Genomic DNA, 23,709 nt, shown 5'->3' with positions numbered 1-23,709 from the left:
AAATGCCTGATCATTGACCTGTTCCCCTGAAGACCCTAGTCCGAGGCCCCTCTAGATGGATCAATGATTGCCTGAGATCCTCTTTGCAGGAGGTGGCATAAGGTAGGAGTTCACCCCCTCAGAATGCAGAGAGGTAAAAAAGAAAGAGCTAGGGATTGGAGCAAAATAAAACAAAACTAAATTCCCGTGTAAATACCAACCTACAACTTCTCAGCTGTGCAAATAGGAGACTCACTTAACCTCATCAAATTTTCATTCCCCCATTTACCTTCCCCAGAGGATTGTTGGGTGCATTGGTCATTGGTCATAAAGCACTCCTAGCACAAAAAGGACACTCAGTGCATGCCAACAGATGGTGGAGTTGGGAGAAAGCACAGGCAAAGAGGAGGTGTTTGTCATGTGGACATCATCATGAGGACTAAGAATAAGAATGTTCTTGTTCTGGGTTAAATTGTATTCCCAAAAAGATATGTTGAAATCTTAATCCCCAGGATCCAGTGAATCCTTTGTTTGGAAACGGGATCTTTGCAGATGTAATGAAGTGGCAATGAGGTCATTAGGGCGGGACTTGATCCAGTATGACTGGTGTCCTTATAAGAAACAGCTATAAAGACACAGACATACAGGGAAAACACATGTGAAGATGCAAGCAGAAATTGGAGTGATGTCTATAAGCCAAGAGATGCCAAGGTTTGCTGGCAGCACCAGAAGCTAAAAGAAAGGCATGGAACAGAATCTCTGCTAAAGCCTTCAGGGAGAGGGAGCACAGCCCTGCCAAGACCTTGATTTCAGACTTCTGTTCTCCAGAACAGTGAGAAAATAAATTTCTGTATTTAAAGCCCCACATTGTGGAACTTTGTGCCCACATTGTGCCCCAGGAAACTAGAGTAGGAAAGCATTAGCATGGCTGGTGCACAGTTAGGGCTTGTCTCCTCTCTTTCCCCACCATCCTTCCCATCACATTTCCTATTGTTAGAGGCTGATTCCTCCTGTAAGCCTTAGATTTTAGTCCCTGGGTGTTATTTATTAATGGCATGACCATGGGCACAATGGCAGTGCCTATACCATGGCTCACCAACTGGTGTCCCCATGACTTCTCTTCTTCTATCAGTCTCTTTAAAATCTAGATAACTGTTTCAAAATCTAAATGTGATTATTAATTCACCCTCCATCAAGCCCTTCCCAGGCTTTCCCGTGTTTTTAAGATAAATACAAAAACCTTCTCACGGTCTGTATGGCCAGGCCATGCCCACCTGCCCCCATCTGGTTTCCTACCACTCTCCTGCTAAGTCTTGGTCTTACAGCTACACAGTAGGAAGCATAGTGCAATTGAGGATTTGAAAGGCCAGGTCTAGGCCCTTTCCACATGAGACCTACTGTCAGAAATGGTCCTCACAACTCCCTTCTCCCAGTTAGTGTCTAGCACAACTTCTGTCCTCTTGCCTGGCTTCAGATCCATTGGCCATCTTAACTTTGATGCCCTCTACTTTCTAATAATCTTCCTAACTGTGGTTTTTGTGGATTAGCATAATTGACAATGGATATATATGGGTCCAAAGCCCAGATTTCTCAATACGCACCACATGGTTTTGTCTGAGTTACTTGTACTTCTTTAATCCTGTAAATAAGAAAGTATACACTATTCACCTTTTAAATAGACTATTAGAGATCATGTGAAAAATTAGAAAAATTTAGTTTAAGAACACTTAAATAACTTTCTCAAGGTTAAAAAGTAAGAAAGTTTAAAAACTGAGATTTTTCAACTAAGTCCTGTATTTTTCTCCCTCTTGATCACAGTTCATAGTTGTTTTTTTTTTTTAATTCAAGATATTTCCTATTGTTCTCCCAGGATTATGGCACACTCAGGCAAATGCACATTTGTTCCCAGTCTGAATTTAAGCTTTTCTTCTTTGCTGATGTTAGTTTAAATCCTCTGCTCCCACCTACTAAAAGAAAAAGAGGGAAAATAATGAAGAGAAGTGGAACAAATGAAAAGAGATGTCATATCACAAGAAATCTTGATTACTCCACTTGAAATGCTGTGTTATTGCAGAATGTGTGCTGGAGCTTTGGAGAGAAGTATTCAAAAATTAGCCAAGGTTAAATAATCAGTATGAATGTACCTGAGCCAAATAGATTATAACATTCTAAGAGAAATTTTTCACAGGATGGAGAAAAATGCTGTAAAATTAAAATTTGAGAATAAGTTTGACATTCATGTGTTAGTTTACATCAGCATGGATATGAAGAAAATAGCACATCCTTCTGGGGAAAGGCAAGTGGAAAGGAAAGTCCAATGTTGACTGATTCCTTCTACTTGTTTGGAAGCAATATGAACACTGTTTTGGGTGCCCTTCATGTGTAAACTTATACTTTCCTTAGGTCAAGCCCAAGTTTCTTTTTTCTTTTTTTTTTTTTTTTTTGAGAGGGAGTCTCACTCTGTTGCCCAAGCTGGAGTGCAGTGGCACGATCTCAACTCACTGCAAGCTCCACCTCCTGGGTTCATGCCATTCTCCAGCCTCAGCCTCCTGAGTAGCTGGGACTACAGGCATCCACCACCACGCCTGGCTAATTTTTTTGTAATTTTAGTAGAGACGAGGTTTCACCATGTTAGCCAGGATGGTCTCGATCTCCTGACCTCATGATCCTCCCGCCTCAGCCTCCCAAAGTGCTGGGATTAGAGGCGTGAGCCACCACGCCCGGCCAAGCCCAAGTTTCTTATATCCTCTCTATCTCATCCTTCCAGAGCTAGTCTTTTCATTTTTCCATTGTAGTCTTTTTGTTCTGCACCAAAAATCAGTCTTGACTTAAAGCAGAAAACATGTAACCAGGAAGGCATATTTGAAAAAACATAGATTGAGAGACAAGTGGACTTACATTTGCATTCTGGCTTGGTCTTGCCGGGAAACACTGAGCCCTTCACTGTGATTTTCAATCTTAGTGTTCTTGCCTCTACAATGATGATGATAAGCCTCTATCACACACCAGTTGGAAGGGTTTAGTGCAATTTAATGCAATGAAACAATATTTGATTGACACAGTGTGCTCCTCAACTGTGTGCTCCTTAACTGGAGGTCTTGGTTGCAAGCAATGAAAGATGACTCTGTATGCTTAAACAGAGAAAAGGTGTTTAAAAAGGATATTGGCAGCTCAGTTAGTTTGGAGGAAGGCTGGAAATTAAACTCATGTGTAGATTTCCAGCAATGCCCCAAACAAAGCCTGATGAGAAATCACTGTTGCCCATAAAGGATTTGAGGAAACTGCCCTCCTGCCTTCAGCCTTGTCACTTCTGCCCACAAAGACCACTTGGCCACCTCCAGCTTTTTAAGAAACCCAGGAGGTGTCCTTATTAGAAGTGAGGCTTAGAAACCCTTATATTCTGCCCTGGGCAGGAACCATCCTGACGTTCCTCAGTTCTGCTCATCTGAGTCTCACAGCAAAACACACCTGTCTCTAGTCACTTAATTTATTCCACGATTGGGAATAAAACATCAGACCAAAGCATCATTCAGTGCATTCTCACCCACATTTTTATTTGTTTACTGTCTGCCTGAGCCTCACCCCCCCACCCACTGCCCCAACACAAGACTTACACTTATGTTTTCTGTGTGTGTCTCTTTTTTTCCTTTTTGTGGAGAATGGGGTCTCACTATATTGCCCAGGCAAGTCTCAAACTCCTGGGCTCAAGCTATCCCCTACCTCTGCCTCCCTAAAAGCTGGCATTACAGGCGTGAGCCACCATGCCCAGCCCAACACTAGACTTAAGCTTCATGAGGGTAGGGCCAATTTGTTTATTATAGCATCATCTATGCCTGGAATAGGGACCAGCAAGTGTTTCCCATAAGTATTTCATGAATAAATGAATGTCCTGAGAGCCCTTTCCTTTAGAGAGATGAGTAGAGCAGGACCTTGGAAGTCTTAACTTCCACAGAAAACCAAGGTATTGAGGGGGATGGAATGGAGAAAAGAAAGAAAGGAAAGGAAAGAAGAGAAAAAGGAAAGGAAAGGAAAGGAAAGGAAAGGAAAGGAAAGGAAAGGAAAGGAAAGGAAAGGAAAGGAAAGGAAAGGAAAAGAAAGGAAAGGAAAAAAGAGAGAAAGAGAAAGAAAGAAAAAAGAGAGAAAAAGAAAGAAAGAAAAACAGAAAGAAAGAGAATGGGAAAAAGAAAAAAGAAAAAGAAAGAAAGAAAAAGAGAGAAAAAAGAAAAAGAAAGAAGGAAAGAAAGAAGAAAGAAAGAAAGAAAGAAAGAAAGAAAGAAAGAAAGAAAGAAAGAAAGAGAAAGAAAGAAAGAAAGAAAGAAAAGAAAGAAAGAAAACAGAAAGAAAGCAAAGCATCTGTGCTCTAGAAGTAATGACAGGACTTGGCTGACAATGTAGCGCTATCATACGTTGTCAATTACAAATCCTGCCTTGTCAATTACAGAGGTGCCCTTGGCTTTCCTGCCAAGGCTCTCCCTGAAGCTGCCTGTCTTCATTTTCCTCTCATCAACCCACATGGCCCAAAGTCTCCTTATAGAGGAGACTCCTATACAGATAAAAGAAACAAGTGCTACGTATGTTTATTGCAGCACTGTTCACAATAGCAAAGACTTGGAACCAACCCAAATGCCCATCAATGAAAGACTGGGTAAAGGAAATGTGCCACATACACACTATAGAATACCATGCAGCCATAAAAAAGGATGAATTCATGTCATTTGCAGGGACATGCATGAAGCTGGAAACCATCATTTTCAGCAAACTAACACAGGAACAGAAAGCCAAACACTGCATGTTCTCACTTATAAGTGGGAGTCGAACAATGAGAACACATGGACACAGGGAGGGGAACATCACACACCGGGGCCTGTCAGGTGGTCAGGGGCTAGGGAAGGGATAGCATTAGGAGAAATACCTAATGTAGATGAGGGGTTGGTGGGTACAGCAAACCACCATGGCATGTGTATACCTATGTAACAAACCTGCACATTCTGCACATGTATCCCAGAACTTAATCTATAATAATAAAAAAAAGAAAAAAAAAAACAGAACAAAGCAAAAAAAAAAAAAAAAAAACAAGTGCTGAGGAAACCCACAGCACCCATCTACCATAATTCCTCTAGTTATTTCCTCATCAATAGCAGTCTAGGTCCAGGGATCTCTAGACGTTTGAGTAAAATCAACAGACGGCATCAAATAACAATCAGAATTCACTTTGAGCTCTTACCATAAGCATGACAACATCTAAGCTCATTATACCTACCACCTTATTTAACCCTTTAACCCTCACAAAACTCTATGAGGAAAGTACAATGTCTACCTCATTTTATAGATAAGGAAAGAGAAACACAGAGAGGTTAAGTAACATGTCAAAGTCCCACAGGTAGTGAGAGCCAGAGCCAGGATCCAAACTTAAGCCACATCATTACAGGGATTCAGAACATGAGGAAAAAAAGATAGATTAGAAAATAGGGCCACACTTTGTTTCATTTTCCTATTCTCCTTCCAAATGATACCAGCAAAAGATTTATTAAGCTATTGCATCCCCAGAAGGGCAGGCTGCCACAAAAAGCAGAAAGAGAGACAGAGAAAGAATCAGCTAAGAAGATTAATTCTTGGAGATTAAAATTATCATTGCCAACTTAAAAAATTCATAGAATGGTTGAAGATTACGATTCAGCAATATAAACCGAAACAGTTATCGAACATAATTATAAAACACAACTTGGAATTTTTGACTGAAATTTTTATATCCTCCAAACCTTTGATCCAATGATTGCTCTTTCAGGAGGTGTCTTACAGAGGCGTTTCATCTTGTGCACCAAGCAGGTTTTGGGGTGTCATAAAGCCTCACTGGCAATACCTTAAAACCTGGAAACTTTTAAAATGCCCATTAGTCAGCATATAATGCTATTACTTTTAATAGCAAAAAAAAAACACAGTTACTTTTGTACCAACCTAATAAATTATATTTATCTTTATTATGGAATACTGTTCATATATTTTGTTTTGTTTTGTTTTAAGGTAAGCACAAATATATGTACTGATATGGAAACATATTTATTATATATTCAGTTTTTAACAATCAAGCTTCTATATTTCTATTTTATAAAGCCTGGTAATGAACATACAGTCGTCCCTATGTATCTGTTGAAGATTGGTTGCAAGATCCTCTCCCTACCTCCTGTGGATACCAAAATCTATGCCTGAACACTCAAGTCTCTGATATAAAATAGCATAGTATTTGCATATAAACTATGTACATCTCCCATGTACTTTAAATTATCTCTCTGCTGGGTGTGGTGGCTCATGCCTGTAATCCCAGCACTTTAGGAGGCTGAGGCGGGTAGATCACGAGGTCAGGAGTTCAAGACCAGCCTGGCCAACATAGTGAAACCCCATCTCTACTAAAAATATTAAAAAAAAAAAATAGCCAGGCATGGTGGCAGGTGCCTGTAGTGCCAGCTACTTGGGAGGCTGAGGCAGGAGAATCGCTTGAACCTGGGAGGCAGAGGTTGCAGTGAGCTGAGACTGCACCACTGCACTCCAGCTTGGGCAAAAGAGTGAGACTTCGTCTCAAAAAAAAAAAATTATCTCTCGATTATTTATAATACCTAATACAATGTAGAAGCTGTGTCAATAGTTGCTATACTGTATCATTTCTTAAATTTGTGTTATTTTTAATTGTTGTATTGTTATTTTTTCCAAATATTTTGAACTTTGGTTGGTTGACTCAGCAGTTAGTTGACTCAGCATTTGGTTGGATCTCCACATGCAAAACCCCAGATACAGAGGGCCAACTAGGTGAATGTACCTGTGCGGTGAACTGGATCTGGAAAGATGTTCATGAGCTGTGAATAATAGGACTTAAACATGGCAATAACAGCAAACATAGGCAAACAGAAAAGTCAGGCGAGGGATAGGGGCTTTTCCCACACTGTGCTCCCATGGTTGGATTTGTCTTCAAAGAGCATGTACAACATTTGTAATTAAAAAAAAAAAAAAAGACTTTTCAGCAGGGCACGGTGTCTCATGCCTGTAATCCTAGCACCTTGGGAGGCCGAGGTGGGAGGATCACCTGAGGTTAGGAGTTCAAGACCAGCCTGGCCAACATGGTGAAACCTCATCTCTACTATAATACAAAAATTAGCCGGGCGTGGTGGCAGGTGCCTGTAATCCCAGCTACTCGGGAGGCTGAGATAGGAAATCGCTTGAACCCGGGAGACGGTGGTTGCAGTGAGCCACGATCATGCCATTGCACTCCAGTTTGGGTGGCTGAGCAAGATTTTTCTAAAATCTAAAAGGCACGCACAGCTCAGAGGGAAGAAAGTGAGTCCCATACAGTCTCTGCTACTAACTGGCAATGTGGCTACGTGCATTCTACTCCCCTTTTAGAGCTTCGGTTTCCTCATCTGTAAAATAAACAGAGAGTCTGAGAGCCCAAAGTGGTGAGCGGAGACCCAAATACACACAGAGAGACACCAAAATGTGTCCTTGCTTGTTCATAGGTTACATTTACGAAGAATGCCAGCATCTCTCCTAAATGGAAGTCTTGCAAAATCTCTTTTGTCTCTCCATGAGCAGTGGATTAGATTTTTTGCTTGATTTCTCTTAAAATCACTGTGCCTGCCTGCTTCTGAGGAGATCATCCTGTCTTCTCTGTCATGGACTGCACTGTTCTTCTCTGTATCCAGGAAAAATGTAACATTTAAACAGACTGGATTTTTTTTTCTTTTCAAATATAGGCACAACTGACAGGAACAGGCCTGGGAGCCTAAACGAGGGTGTTAACTGCAGAGATATTTATCCACCTCCAGTTTCAGTTGCTTTTCTGCATATTCCCAATTCTCTGTAACAAATAAGCTTTGCTTCTAAACAAAGAAGAAAAACAAAAGAACCCATATACTTCCAAACAAACACTCCCACTCCCATGGAAACATCCATCTTTTGCATTTCAACTCGTCTTCAGCCTATACATGCAATGTCTCCCAGATCTTCAAACTTTATTAAGAAAAGGTTGGCCTTGAACAGTTAGCTCCTGTAAATAAATGACTTTCCCATGAGTAAGAGCAGCACAGTCATTTCCAGGAAACCAAGCTGAAATGCTCTAAGGCTGAGTGCAGCTCAACCACTCAGGGAACATTTATAAAAGGGGACCCTGAGCCAATGGAAAGAGGCTAGACCAGGAGCAAGGGCTCATGCATTTAAAACTGAAATTGGACTTAATCGATGGCCAAATCCCGACCAGGCCCCTGACTTCACTGTGACCACATAAAAATTCTTTAACCCCTCAGAGCTTGTTTCTGATTCCTGGGGCTATATTAATGTAAGTAACAAAATCTGAGTGGCTTGGAAAAACAGACATTTATTCTCTCACCGTTTAGGAGGCCAGAAGCCAGATATTGAGGTGTCAGAGGGACTGGCTCCTTTTGGAGGCTCTGAGAATCTGATCCAAGGTATTCACCTGGCTTCTGGTGGTTGCCAGCAGTCCTTGGCGCTCCCCTTGTGTGTCTCTGTGTGTCTTCTCCTCTTCTTATAAGGACACCAGTCATTAGTTTGAGGCTCACCTGACTGCAACTGAAAAGGCCCTATTTTCAGATAAGCTCACATTCACAGGTACCAGGGGCCAGGACCTAAACAAATCCTTTTGGGGAATATAGTTATACTTACAAGAGAGCTCCAGTCATTATCTCTAGCCTGCATCCGGGTATTTGTTATGAGAATAAATGAAACAAAATCATTGACTGCATGGGCCATGACATGTGGGTGTTCATATATGAGAACAATAATAACGACTGTTTTAGCATTCAGGCTCCAAATATACATGGTGAAAATGTGGAGGTCCTTTTATCACACAAAGATGTTTCAAGCTTCCACAATGAGATAAGCTCCGAGTGAGGGACCAGAGGCACACAGACAATAGAAGATGCAGCCAAAGGACGGGAAGGAGCCGGCCTGAGCATTCGCTATTGGTGGACTCATCTTCATCAGGTTGATGGGAAGGATCCAGGGTTCAATTTGAGGAAAGGATTGAGATTCACATTTGAAATCAACAGAAGGAAACAGCACAGATTGCCCAGGGAGATGCAGCATTTTGCAGCCAGAAGTGTCCTTGAGACCCAAGACTCCTGGGAATTTGCAGAATCCCTGGGGAAGGCTTCCAAATCCAGCCAGCCTTCTCTGGACCTTGAGGGTCACAGGACCACAACAAACAGCCAGGTGACAGAGTGAAATAGCTGTTGCACAGGAGGAGCACAGAGAGGGATACATTCCCCTTTTGCCAAGAGAGAAACTGCAGTCTCTCAATGGATGCCCTTGGTGAGAAACATAGACTCCCACCTGCCCAGTATCTAAACAAGGCTCTCTGGAATGCAGCAGCCCTTCTCGAGTGGTGTAAGTTACTCCTTCTTCCACGGGCCACCATGACCCTGAGTGCCCTTCCCAGGCAGGGCTCTGGTCCACATCATTCTCCTTTGCAAGGGCAAGTTCACAGAACTTCTTAAGGGCTCTAAACACAGACTCACAAACCAAAGACTACGGTTTTCAGAACCAAACTGTCCATGAGAAGATGAGAGCCAAACAAGGAAACAGCCCACAGGGGCTCTGAGTAATAACAGATTCTCCAAAGCAATGCCTGTGTGCACATGCACTCTCACGCCCAGGGATCGCCCCAGCCCACCTCACGCCAACTCACAGAAACTGAAATACCAAGCAAGAAAATAAGAGAGAGAGGAAAAGAATAAGAGGAGCTGCACAGAATCACGATTTAACACACCACTCTTCTTAAAAGAGACTGGAGAGAGATGCAGGAACAGAAAGCTGCTTCTAAAGAAGGGAAGAAAACAGAGCAGAGTGGGAGAACCTGGAGCAAAGCAAAGGACCCCCAGATAGAGCCCAGTTATTCTTAGCATCGTCGACTCCCATTTTAGGATAGGCAATAATTGTGCAAGAAATTTTAGGTTAAATGTTACCATAACATGTGCACATGCGCACACACACACAAACTCAACTTGAGTCAGAAAACAAACATGATTTGAATCAAATCTCTGCCACTTGCTGGCTTTGAGACTTTGGGTGGAATCCTTAAGCTCTTGCTGTCTCCATGTTCTGTGGTGTAAAATGGAATTCACATAACCATGTTCCAGAATTACCATGGCCATTTTGTGAGATAGTTTAGGTAAAGTTCAAGAAACATAGTAGTTAAAAATAAATATACCGGGGAGGAGCCAAGATGGCCGAATAGGAACAGCTCCAGTCTACAGCTCCCAGCGTGAGCGACGCAGAAGATGGGTGATTTCTGCATTTCCATCTGAGGTACCCGGTTCATCTCACTAGGGAGTGCCAGACAGTGGGCACGGGTCAGTGGGTGTGCCCACCGTGCGCGAGCTGAAGCAGGGCGAGGCATTGCCTCACCTGGGAAGCACAAGGGGTCAGGGAGTTCCCTTCTGAGTCAAAGAAAGGGGTGATGGACGGCACCTGGAAAATCGGGTCACTCCCACCCTAATACTGCGCTTTTCCGACGGTCTTAAAAAACGGCACACCACGAGATTATATCCCGCACCTGGCTCGGAGGGTCCTACGCCCACAGAGTCTGGCTGATTGCTAGCACAGCAGTCTGAGATCAAAGTGCAAGGCGGCAGCGAGGCTGGGGGAGGGGCGCCTGCCATTGCCCAGGCTTGATTAGGTAAACAAAGCAGCTGGGAAGCTCCAACTGGGTGGAGCCCACCACAGCTCAAGGAGGCCTGCCTGCCTCTGTAGGCTCCACCTCTGGGGGCAGGGCACAGACAAACAAAAAGACAGCAGTAACCTTTGCAGACTTAAATGTCCCTGTCTGACAGCTTTGAAGAGAGCAGTGGTTCTCCCAGCACGCAGCTGGAGATCTGAGAACCGGCAGAATGCCTCCTCAAGTGGGTCCCTTACCCCTGACCCCCGAGCAGCCTAACCGGGAGGCACCCCCCAGCAGGGGCACACTGACACCTCACACGGCAGGATACTCCAACAGACCTGCAGCTGAGGGTCCTCTCTGTTAGAAGGAAAACTAACAAACAGAAAGGACATCCACACCAAAAACCCATCTGGACATCACCATCATCAAAGACCAAAAGTAGATAAAACCACAAAGATGGGGAAAAAACAGAACAGAAAAACTGGAAACTCTAAAAAGCAGAGTGCCTCTCCTCCTCCAAAGGAACGCAGTTCCTCACCAGCAACGAAACAAAGCTGGATGGAGAATGACTTTGACGAGCTGAGAGAAGAAGGCTTCAGACGATCAAATTACTCTGAGATACGGGAGGACATTCAAACCAAAGGCAAAGAAGTTGAAAATTTTGAAAAAAATTTAGAAGAATGTATAACTAGAATAACCAATACAGAGAAGTGCTTAAAGGAGCTGATGGAGCTGAAAACCAAGGCTCGAGAACTACGTGAAGAATGCAGAATCCTCAGGAGCCGATGAGATCAACTGGAAGAAAGGGTATCAGCGATGGAAGATGAAATGAATGAAATGAAGCGAGAAGGGAAGTCTAGAGAAAAAAGAATAAAAAGAAATGAGCAAAGCCTCCAAGAAATACGGGACTATGTGAAAAGACCAAATCTACGTCTGATTGGTGTACCTGAAAGTGATGGGGAGAATGGAACCAAGTTGGAAAACACTCTGCAGGATATTATCCAGGAGAACTTCCCCAATCTAGCAAGGCAGGCCAACATTCAGATTCAGGAAATACAGAGAACACCACAAAGATACTCCTCGAGAAGAGCAACCCCAAGACACATAATTGTCAGATTCACCAAAGTTGAAATGAAGGAAAAAATGTTAAGGGCAGCTAGAGAGAAAGGTCGGGTTACCCTCAAAGGGAAGCCCATCAGACTAAGAGTGGATCTCTCGGCAGAAACCCTACAAGCCAGAAGAGAGTGGGGGCCAATATTCAACATTCTTAAAGAAAAGAATTTTCAACCCAGAATTTCATATCCAGCCAAACTAAGCTTCATAAGTGAAGGAGAAATAAAATACTTTACAGACAAGCAAACACTGAGAGATTTTGTCACCACCAGGCCTGCCTTACAAGAGCTCCTGAAGGAAGCACTAAACATGGAAAGGAACAACCGGTACCAGCTGCTGCAAAATCATGCCAAAATGTAAAGACCGTCGAGACTAGGAAGAAACTGCATCAGCTAACGAGCAAAATAACCAGCTAACATCATAATGACAGGATCAAATTCACACATAACAATATTAACTTTAAATGTAAATGGACTAAATGCTCCAATTAAAAGACACAGACTGGCAAATTGGATAAAGAGTCAAGACTCATCAGTGTGCTGTATTCGGGAAACCCATCTCACATGCAGAGACACACATAGGCTCAAAATAAAAGGATGGAGGAAGATCTACCAAGCCAATGGAAAACAAAAAAAGGCAGGGGTTGCAATCCTAGTCTCTGATAAAACAGACTTTAAACCAACAAAGATCAAAAGAGACAAAGAAGGCCATTACATAATGGTAAAGGGATCAATTCAACAAGAAGAGCTAACTATCTTAAATATATATGCACCCAATACAGGAGCACCAAGATTCATAAAGCAAGTCCTGAGTGACCTACAAAGAGACTTAGACTCCCACACATTAATAATGGGAGATTTAACACCCCACTGTCAACATTAGACAGATCAACGAGACAGAAAGTCAACAAGGATACCCAGGAATTGAACTCAGCTCTGCACCAAGCGGACCTAATAGACATCTACAGAACTCTCCACCCCAAATCAACAGAATATACATTTTTTTCAGCACCACACCACACCTATTCCAAAATTGACCACATACTGGGAAGTAAAGCTCTCCTCAGCAAATGGAAAAGAACAGAAATTATAACAAACTATCTCTCAGACCACAGTGCAATCAAACTAGAACTCAGGATTAAGAATCTCACTCAAAACTGCTCAACTACATGGAAACTGAACAACCTGCTCCTGAATGACTACTGGGTACATAATGAAATGAAGGCAGAAATAAAGATGTTCTTTGAAACCAATGAGAACAAAGACAACATACCAGAATCTCTGGGATGCATTCAAAGCAGTGTGTAGAGGGAAATTTATAGCACTAAATGCCCACAAGAGAAAGCAGGAAAGATCCAAAATTGACACCCTAACATCACAATTAAAAGAACTAGAAAAGCAAGAGCAAACACATTCAAAAGCTAGCAGAAGGCAAGAAATAACTAAAATCAGAGCAGAACTGAAGGAAATAGAGACACAAAAAACCCTTCAAAAAATTAATGAATCCAGGAGCTGGTTTTTTGAAAGGATCAACAAAATTGATAGACCGCTAGCAAGACTAATAAAGAAAAAAAGAGAGAAGAATCAAATAGACGCAATAAAAAATGATAAAGGGGATATCACCACCGATCCCACAGAAATACAAACTACCATCAGGGAATACTACAAACACCTCTACGCAAATAAACTAGAAAATCTAGAAGAAATGGATACATTCCTGGACACATACACTCTCCCAAGACTAAACCAGGAAGAAGTTGAATCTCTGAATAGACCAATAACAGGAGCTGAAATTGTGGCAATAATCAATAGCTTACCAACCAAAAAGAGTCCAGGACCAGATGGATTCACAGCCGAATTCTACCAGAGGTACAAGGAGGAACTGGTACCATTCCTTCTGAAACTATTCCAATCAATAGAAAAAGAGGGAATTCTCCCTAACTCATTTTATGAGGCCAGCATCATTCTGATACCAAAGCCAGGCAGAGACACAACCAAAAAAGAGAATTTTAGACCAATATCCTTGATGAACATTGATGCAAATATCCTCAATAAAATACTGGCAAAACGAATCCAGCAGCACATCAAAAAGCTTATCCACCATGATCAAGTGGGCTTCATCCCTGGGATGCAAGACTGGTTCAATATACGCAAATCAATAAATGTAATCCAGCATATAAACAGAGCCAAAGACAAAAACCACATGATTATCTCAATAGATGCAGAAAAAGCCTTTGACAAATTCAACAACCCTTCATGCTAAAAATTCTCCATAAATTAGGTATTGATGGGACGTATTTCAAAATAATAAGAGCTATCTGTGAAAAACCCACAGCCAATATCATACTGAATGGGCAAAAACTGGAAGCATTCCCTTTGAAAACTGGCACAAGACAGGGATGCCCTCTCTCACCACTCCTATTCAACATAGTGTTGGAAGTTCTGGCCAGGGCAATTAGGCAGGAGAAGGAAATAAAGGGTATTCAATTAGGAAAAGAGGAAGTCAAATTGTCCCTGTTTGCAGACGACATGATTGTATATCTAGAAAACCCCATTGTCTCAGCCCAAAATCTCCTTAAGCTGATAAGCAACTTCAGCAAAGTCTCAGGATACAAAATCAATGTGCAAAAATCACAAGCATTCTTATACACCAACAACAGACAAACAGAGAGCCAAATCATGAGTGAACTCCCATTCACAATTGCTTCAAAGAGAATAAAATACCTAGGAATACAACTTACAAGGGATGTGAAGGACCTCTTCAAGGAGAACTACAAACCACTGCTCAAGGAAATAAAAGAGGATACAAACAAATGGAAGAACATTCCATGCTCATGGGTAGAAAGAATCAATATCGTGAAAATGGCCATACTGCCCAAGGTAATTTACAGATTCAATGCCATCCCCATCAAGCTACCAATGCCTTTCTTCACAGAATTGGAAAAAACTACTTTAAAGTTCATATGGAACCAAAAAAGAGCCCGCATCGCCAAGTCAATCCTAAGCCAAAAGAACAAAGCTGGAGGCATCACACTACCTGACTTCAAACTATACTACAAGGCTACAGTAACCAAAACAGCATGGTACTGGTACCAAAACAGAGATATAGATCAATGGAACAGAACAGAGCCCTCAGAAATAATGCCACATATCTACAACTATCTGATCTTTGACAAACCTGACAAAAACGAGCAATGGGGAAAGGATTCCCTATTTAATAAATGGTGCTGGGAAAACTGGCTAGCCATATGGAAAAAGCTGAAACTGGATCCCTTCCTTACACCTTATACAAAAATCAATTCAAGATGGATTAAAGACTTAAACGTTAGACCTAAAACCATAAAAACCCTAGAAGAAAACCTAGTCATTACCATTCAGGACATAGGCATGGGCAAGGACTTCATGTCTAAAACACCAAAAGCAATGGCAACAAAAGACAAAATTGACAAATGGGATCTAATTAAACTAAAGAGCTTCTGCACAGCAAAAGAAACTACCATCAGAGTGAATAGGCAACCTACAAAATGGGAGAACATTTTCGCAACCTACTCATCTGACAAAGGGCTAATATCCAGAATCTACAATGAACTCAAACAAATTTACAAGAAAAAAACAAACAACCCCATCAAAAAGTGGGCGAAGGACATGAACAGACACTTCTCAAAAGAAGACATTTATGCAGTCAAAAAACACATGAAAAAATGCTCATCATCACTGGCCATCAGAGAAATGCAAATCAAAACCACTATGAGATACCATCTCACACCAGTTAGAATGGCAATCATTAAAAAGTCAGGAAACAACAGGTGCTGGAGAGGATGTGGAGAAATAGGAACAGTTTTACACTGTTGGTGGGACTGTAAACTAGTTCAAGCATTGTGGAAGTCAGTGTGGCGATTCCTCAGGGATCTAGAACTAGAAATACCATTTGACCCAGCCATCCCATTACTGGGTATATACCCAAAGGACTATAAATCATGCTGCTATAAAGACACATGCCACACGTATGTTTATTGTGGCATTATTCACAATAGCAAAGACTTGGAACCAACCCAAATGTCCAACAGTGATAGACTGGATTAAGAAAATGTGGCACATATACACCATGGAATACTATGCAGCCATAAAAAATGATGAGTTCATGTCCTTTGTAGGGACATGGATGAAATTGGAAATCATCATTCTCAGTAAACTATCGCAAGAACAAAAAACCCAACACCACATATTCTCACTCATAGGTGGGAATTGAACAATGAGATCACATGGACACAGGAAGGGGAACATCACACTCTGGGGACTGTTGTGGGGTGGGGGGAGTGGGGAGGGATAGCATCGGGAGATATACCTAATGCTAGATGACGAGTTAGTGGGTGCAGTGCACCAGCATGGCACATGTATACATATGTAACTAACCTGCACAATGTGCACATGTACCCTAAAACTTAAAGTATAATAATAAAAAAAAAGAAACTATAAAAAAATAAAAAATAAAAAAAATAAAAATAAAAATAAAAAAAATAAAAATAAATAAATAAATAAATATACCAATAATAAAAATCAACATAAAAGTAATAAAATCCACTCATCAGGATTATTTTAGTTAAAATTTTTATTATTATTGTTATTATTTTTTTGAGACAGAGTCTTGCTCTGTCACCCAGGTTGGAATGCAGTGCCCGGGATCTCAGCTTACTGCAACCTCTGCCTCCTGAGTTCAAGCGATTCTCCTGCCTCAGCCTCCCGAGTAGCTGGGACTACAGGCACGTGTCACCACGCCTGGCTAATTTTTGTATTTTTAGTAGAAACAAGGTTTCGCCCTGTTGGCCAGGCTGGTCTCAAACTCCTGACATCAGGTGATCCACCCTTCTTGGCCTCCTGAAGTGCTGAGATTACAGGCATGAGCCACTGCGCTGGCCTAAATTTCTAAAAAGGAAGTTGGACAGATGAACGCTGGGGCTGTATGTCAGGAGTTGGTGTGGAAGTAAAGAAGTAGCAGGTGGAATATTGAAGAAATCAGATAGCCTGGGTCCTGATGCCCAGCCCTGCTGTGTACTGTGAATGCTGGGCGAGTTACTTAACCTCTCTGTACCTCAGTTCCTCCATCTGTACATAGAGAAAGGGTTGCAGTGCAAGTGTATGTTAAGCATGTTAACACTGAGCACTTAGAACAACGCAGGGAACATAGTAACCATTACAAGACTGTTAGCTACTCTCTTTATCACACTCTCAATTATTTATTTATAATTCAACTTAATTTATAATAACTCATTAAGTGATTTCTTATTTGGACTCCAGTGGGCTTTACAGAGATAAGCATGATATTTAGATAATCTTCAGAGTCTCTGTCTATAAATGAGTTGGTTGAGTGTATTATACTTGTTTCATTTATGGAATGTAGCATTTCCCATGCACTAATGCAGAAAAATATCAGCATACCCCTTTATGGCCTTAGAAGACTGTTTTCTGACTTTGGAAAAATGTAAGGCAAAACTCGTGAAGTATTAAGGTACCCAGTCACTTAGATATACCCTGTCTTCTGTGTCATAAGTTTTATTAAATATGTTCTATATGCCAGATACCAAGCTGGGTGCTGAGTGTGGGGACACAGATATTTCGCAGTCAGTGACTCATATCTGGAAACCTACCCATTTATTGAACAGTCTATGTAACATCACAATATCAGATGAAGTTTGCCCAAACCTAGGTAAGTTTCAATTGTTAAGAAGTTCAGCCCTGAGCTGAACACAATTTTAATTAAGAAAACTAAAAAGTACTTCATTCAAAGTGAGTTCCAGTTCAGCATCCAATTTCTCCCTTTTTAAGAATTTTAATGAAGTTTCCCAAGTGTCAGTGTCTCTTCTCTCTGAAGGTGACTTTCACGTCAATTTATCCCTAGTCACCTTGCAACATCAGTGGATGCTTTTCCTCCCTATGTCCCTAAGTTACATTTTGAACTTGGAGAGGAGAAATCTGACTATTCATTGGCACATTTCTTGTACGTCATCACACATACAGTTTCTGGTTCTATGATGAAATAACCCAGTCTTATAAATCTGTCAAGAGAATGAGTTAGATTTTTTTAAGAGTAGATGATACTTTGTTCAAATAAATCTGATTCATGGAGAGTTTTAATGCTCCTTTTGAAAATATTTTTAAAAGCATTTTTTGGTAACAGCCCCACCCTCATGAGAGGCTGAAGAACATACTTGAAACACAAGACATAATCAAATAAGGGCACAGGAGCAATATAGAAGTGAGTTTAAATCCCAGCCCTTTAATTGAATCAAATCCAATATCAGGGAGGAGATTACGTTTCTCTAGTGTTTCAAGGGCTGGCCTATGACCTGAGTCAGTGTGTCATTGCTGGGACAGGACAACGGCATGGGGACTCTGAACCACCCTCTGTCTATATTCTTGGGCAAGCCATTGACCTCTTTGAGCTACTCATTCTTTGCATTTCTGAACCCCAAAAAACAATGTCTATTAAGAACGTGAAATGAGCCCTTTAAATGTCAGCACCCATCCTTCCCAAAACAGAGCAGATCAAAACAAAACACTTTTCATTCTGCACCTGGTCTTCAGGCTATAAACGACTATTTCCCCCAGCTCTGGCCCCTTCGTTGGTAACACTGAGTACACAAGCAAATGTGCTTTGGCAAGACAGGATGTTTTTTCAGCTGAAATGGTAGTGGTTCAATTAGCTTAGCAGTTTGCAGAGAAGATTCATTCAAAACACTGAAAAGCAAACATTGGAAAAATGGAAAGTTATTTCCCAGCTTGCTCTGGAGGTATTTTAAACTCTGAAGATCAACAGAAAAAGAGCTATAAGAAAGTGTCTTGGTCCAACAGAGGTAGAAGTAGCCTCAGACTGAATGAATTCATGTAGAAGTGAGGGCATCTCCCATATTGATTTTGTGTTGTGTGTTCTTATTTACCAAGATTCAAGGTTGTGGGTATTGAGTGTTCCCTCATTATTGCCTGTTGTTCCACTTATTACTCACCTAATTCTTCCTTTCTTTATAATCAATTGTTTATTCTAGCTTTTCCCTCTTTACTAGACCATGATCCAACTGAAGGCATAAATCTTTCTCAGATCCCAAGATAATGAAGAGCACATTAGTAGGTACTTAGAAGAAAGCAGGAATTCAAAGCTTATGGACGAGTCAAGGGCTGACCAACAAACTCAGCCATTGTGGTGTGGCTGGGCTGGAGTCACAAAACTCTGGGTTTTAGTCCTCATTTTAAGACACTGAAAAGTCACTGGTTATCCCTGAACCTCTGTTTTTAACCTAGGAAAAGAGAATTATGTCTCCTAGCTCAGAAGTTACTTTCAGAATTGAAGTGAAGTACAGCATGTTTAAGAGTTGGACACTTGATTATTGCTGGTTTTCCTTCTTCTCTGATAATCAGGCAGTAGGCATGGGCATCAAAGGAAGTCAAGGAGAAAAAGATAAAAATTCAAAGAGATGTCTACTAAACATGCACTATGTCCGGGTCCTTTTGTGCACATTGTCTTCACTTCTTAGTGGTGGTCTGTTGGTCTTTCTAATATTTGACACCACTGATCTCTCTTTTCTTGAAATATCTTTTCTCTGTTGGTCTTGCTGGCTTCAGTTTTTCTGTTCTAAAACCTGCTCTTCCAGGTTACAGCTGGAGTGAGGCAAGCTAGGTGCCTGGGGCCGACTCTTGGGTTCATGCAGGGCTGACCTTGTGCCTGTATGAACCCAAGAGTGAGTGCCTCATTAAACATTCTGTCCTGTGTGCTTCCCTGCCTCACCTTGGTGCCTGTCCTTTGCCCTGTCTCTTCATTCTTATATTTGATATCTAGGGCTGCCTTAAAAATTACCACAAACTGGATGAATTCCAACAACAACAAAAAATGTATTCTGTCACAGCTCCAGAGGTCAGAAGTCTAAGATTAAGGTGTTGCAGGGCCTCACTTAAGGGTCTCCAAAGGCTCTAAAGAAGACTCTGTTTCTTGCTTCTTCCAGCTTCTGGTACTATTGGTGTTTGTTGGGGTATTTTTGTTTTGGTTTGGTTTGGTTTCTTTTTTTTTTTTTTCTGAAGACAAAGTTTTGCTCTTGTCGCCCAGGGTGGAGTGCAATGGTGGAATCTTGGCTCACTGCAACCTCTGCCTCCCGGGTTCAAGCAATTCTCCTGCCTCAGTCTCCTGAGTAGCTGGGATTACAGGCACCCACCACCATGCCTAGCTAATTTTGTATTTTTAGTAGCGATGGGGTTCCACCACATTGGCCAGGCTGGTCTCGAACTCCTGACCTCCGATGATCCGTCTGCCTTGGCCTCCCAAAGTGCTGGGATTACAGGCATGAGCCACCAGACCTGGCGTTCCTTAACTATGGTTACATCACTTCAATCACTGCCTCTGTCTTCACATCATCTTCTCCTGTTTGTCTGTCCATCTCTCCTCTTTTATCTCTTATAAAAAGCATTTGCCATTGGCTTTAGTGCTCACCTGAATAATCCAGATGACCTTACCTTGAGAATGTTGAGATTTTTAATTTTATCTGAAAAGCTCCTTTTTCCCAATAAGGTCACGTTCACAGGTTCTAGAGATTAGGATATGTTCATACATTTTTGAAGGCCACCTTACAGTTCTTTTCCTCCCTTCTAGTCTTCCTCTTGGACCCCTTTTCTGGATCTTTTGCTCTATCCACAAAGAAATGTCACCATCATCCATGTTTTGGGTAAGAGCTAAAACAGGGAATCCAGTTGAGATGCAGAACGTTTACATTTTGACAGATTGAAATATTCACAGAACTTTATGATTCTCATTTATAACATTCATCAAAATTGTAATTAATTAATTTTGAGACTATAAGCTCAATGAGGACAGGAACTGCAACCTCTTCAAAGCACTAGCCCTAATACTGTGTTTCATTGACACGCAGGAAATATTCCTTGAATATGTGGAGGGAGAAGGACTGGAAGGGTCATAAACACCACTTAGCTTCTTTCTTAAGGGATGATCTGGGATTTACACTCACCTGCTTGGTGTAGGTGGACAACAGCATCTTAGAATGAGAATTGAACTAGAAATCAAAAGAATCATATTTAGATCTTGTTCCCAAGTCCTAGTAGTTGAATCTGAAAATTGGGGAATTAATTCCTGTCCTAGAATTCCAAAACTCCATTATTATTACTGTGCATGCACCCTACGGCATTGGTTCTTGCTGGAAATATGCTTTGAGGTCAAGGGGAAGAACTTAGGAAAGGTACAAATATGCCTGTTTAATGAACCTGGGCCAGATTGTTTTGCACATATCCAGAAGCTTGAATTTCCCCTCCCGCCACCTTTCACAGGGATGTTTACCAGTAGGCACTGGATAAAGGGAGTTGGGTAGCCAGGGACCCCATGCTTGGAGCCCTGAAACCAGGAGTCAAAGCCACTTTTTTCCGCAACCAGTCTTCTTCCTCCTGCCTTGCTTTCCAGTAGTGTGTGTGATACTAGCACATGGTGAGATGCAATTAAAATGTGTGTCATGGAGCGTGAGTATCTTTACATTCTAATTACAGGTTAATAGAATGGACCCAGAGAGATTGCCTAATTAATCTTGGAAAGAGGTGTGTGTATTTAATGATCCTTCAATAAAGGAGCTATGCTTCCTCCAAGAGAACTGGATTGAAAAGGAAGTTAAATTCAGGTAGGAGATTTATTTATAAGTGAATACATACCATCAACATTAAGCTCACAGAAAAGTAGAGTCTACCAAGTAAGTGTAGGCTCAACTGAATTCATGATATTGTAAAAGTATTAGGGTATTAAAGTCACCTACATGATAAAACAAATATATAATGACTTTTACAACAGGGATTGGATTGACTTTACCAGATTGTTATAAATATCTTTTACAAATAGTCTTTAGTTTTTTTAGACAGGGTCTCAGTCTGTTGCCCAGGCAGGAGTGCAGTGACGCAATCATGGCTCACTGCAGCTTCAAACTGTTGGGCTCAAGAGATCCTCCCACGTCACCTCTGGAGAAGCTGGGACTACAGGGGATCCCTACCATGCCCGGATATATATATACATACCTTAGTACAGCCTTGGTTTAGCAAAGTGTTGGGATTACAGGTGTGAGCCACTGTGCCCAGCCAATGGTCATAATTTTTTTTAACCTCCAAGTATCTGTACCATTTGCCATATACTGCTTTGACCATCCTCACTAAAAAAGCAGAATCTATTTCGCCACCCCAGGAATATAGATGAGCCAAATGATTTGCTTTGCCAATGAGATATGAAAAAAATATAATGCAAATGGAGGCCTGAAAATGTACTTGCACAGAGATGCTGTGCTTTTGCACTTCTGCTGTCAGGATGAGAACATGCTGGGGCTAACCTCCAAGGATGAGAAACAGGTGGAATAGACTCACAGTAGCCAAAGCTTGCCTAAGTCAGTCAAGCATCAGCTGACCCCTGGACTCGAGTGAGTCCAGCTCAGATAATCAGTACTGCTTTGACCCCAGATGTGTGAGCAATAATTAACACTTACTATGGTTTTGCAGTTTTTTGCTTTGCAGTACTACTGTGGTCATAGATAACTAATACATGAAATCATAGGTTTGTTGTGAGCACTAAATGGACTGTATGTGAGCATGTTTAACTCAGCAGTTAGCATTCTCAGAGATCTCAATGAATGGCAGGTATCGTTGCAATTATTAACATAGCTCCAGGTTGTTTTCCATGAAGGCATGTTAGGGAATTTGGCTCATAATGCTCCTTTCTTCTTTGTTCTGCTCCTTCCTTTTGGCCCATGGCATGAAATAAACTCTCAATTTCTAGTCATTTATGGTCAAGGGGGCGGGAGACTACATTTAGACTCCCCATTTGAACTTCTACTGGAGGTTTCAAATCAATAAATTCCATAGATTATTTACAGTTCCTCATAGAAGGGCTCATCATTAATTCAACAAATGTTCGTTGAGCCAATATTAGGTTTTAACATACTGTAGGCATAGAAGCAAACAGAATAGATAGAGTTCCTGCCCTCTTGGAGCAAACATTGTTTTGATATACTGATGATTCTACTTAGTCATTCATGTATTTCTTAATGTGTTCATTAACCCAGTAAATATCGTTGATCATCAGTTAGTACTGGGACAGCAGTAAGTATCCTTTCCAGCTTTTTTTTTTTTTTTTTTTTAAGAGAGACAGTGTCTCTGTCTTGCTCTGTCACCCAGGCTGGAGTGCAGTGGCACCATCTCGGCTCACTGCAAGCTCCACCTCCCGGGTTCATGCCATTCTCCTGCCTCAGCCTCCCGAGTAGCTGGAACTACAGGCGCCCGCCACCATGCCTGGCTACTTTTTTTGTATTTTTAGTAGAGATGGAATTTCACCGTGTTAGCCAGGATGGTCGTGATCTCCTGACCTCGTGATCTGCCCGCCTCGGCCTCCCAAAGTGCTGGGATTACAGGTGTGAACCACCACACGCAGCCCCTTTCCAGCTTCTAAAGAGAAACTTAAAGAAATTCAGATTTTTTTAGTGTAAAACTTCTAGATTCTGAAATGTTGGCAGCAAATTAAAAAAAAAAAAAAGTTTTGTGTGGGTCAAACAAAAAAATCAAGGGCCACCATTTGAGATGCCACTTTGTAGCTTGCATTGAAATTATCTGTTTGAATTTTATCTCTTCTTTTAGATTATGAATTCATTTGAGATGAGATCAGTGGATTTACCTTGGTATCTCCCAGGTATTCTGTGCTATGCTTTCAAGTAGGAAGTATCTGTAAATCCTTATGAAATGATTGGTGAGACTCAGTCTCTGTATTCAAGGAATTACAAAGTTATCACAGTGATAAGGTAGATAAGACGTGTTCACAAATAACAATTATATGTTAATAACAATGGTATAGACAACAACTGCTTTCAATTATTAAACACCTAAAATGTCCTGGACACTGTACTAAACCTGAAAATATGCTGACTAATTTAATCATCCCTG

The 23,709-nt window shown here is 41.4% G+C and overlaps 2 long non-coding RNA genes across 3 annotated transcripts in view; both read right to left on the bottom strand.

Annotated features, from left to right (window-relative positions):
• LINC02498 (long intergenic non-protein coding RNA 2498) overlaps nucleotides 1-23,709 on the bottom strand; it is a 71,347-nt gene that overhangs the window by 17,324 nt on the left and 30,314 nt on the right. The window contains exon 4 of one of the 2 annotated variants that reach the window (XR_925378.3): nucleotides 20,743-20,804. The exons of the other annotated variant lie outside the window; for it this stretch is intronic. This is a non-coding gene — a long non-coding RNA (long intergenic non-protein coding RNA 2498). Of the gene's footprint in view, nucleotides 1-20,742; nucleotides 20,805-23,709 lie in introns of those variants that run through there. 2 annotated transcript variants of the gene reach the window in all.
• Nucleotides 1,818-5,833, bottom strand: LOC105374479 (uncharacterized). Its single transcript, XR_925374.2, has 3 exons — nucleotides 5,739-5,833; nucleotides 2,878-3,110; nucleotides 1,818-1,946 (listed from the first exon to the last, which is right to left on the bottom strand). It is a non-coding gene; the product is annotated as an uncharacterized LOC105374479 (long non-coding RNA).

This window comes from Homo sapiens, chromosome 4 (genome assembly GCF_000001405.40).
Source record: "Homo sapiens chromosome 4, GRCh38.p14 Primary Assembly".
NCBI lineage: Eukaryota > Metazoa > Chordata > Mammalia > Primates > Hominidae > Homo > Homo sapiens.
This window is presented reverse-complemented; position numbering and strand designations above follow the sequence as displayed.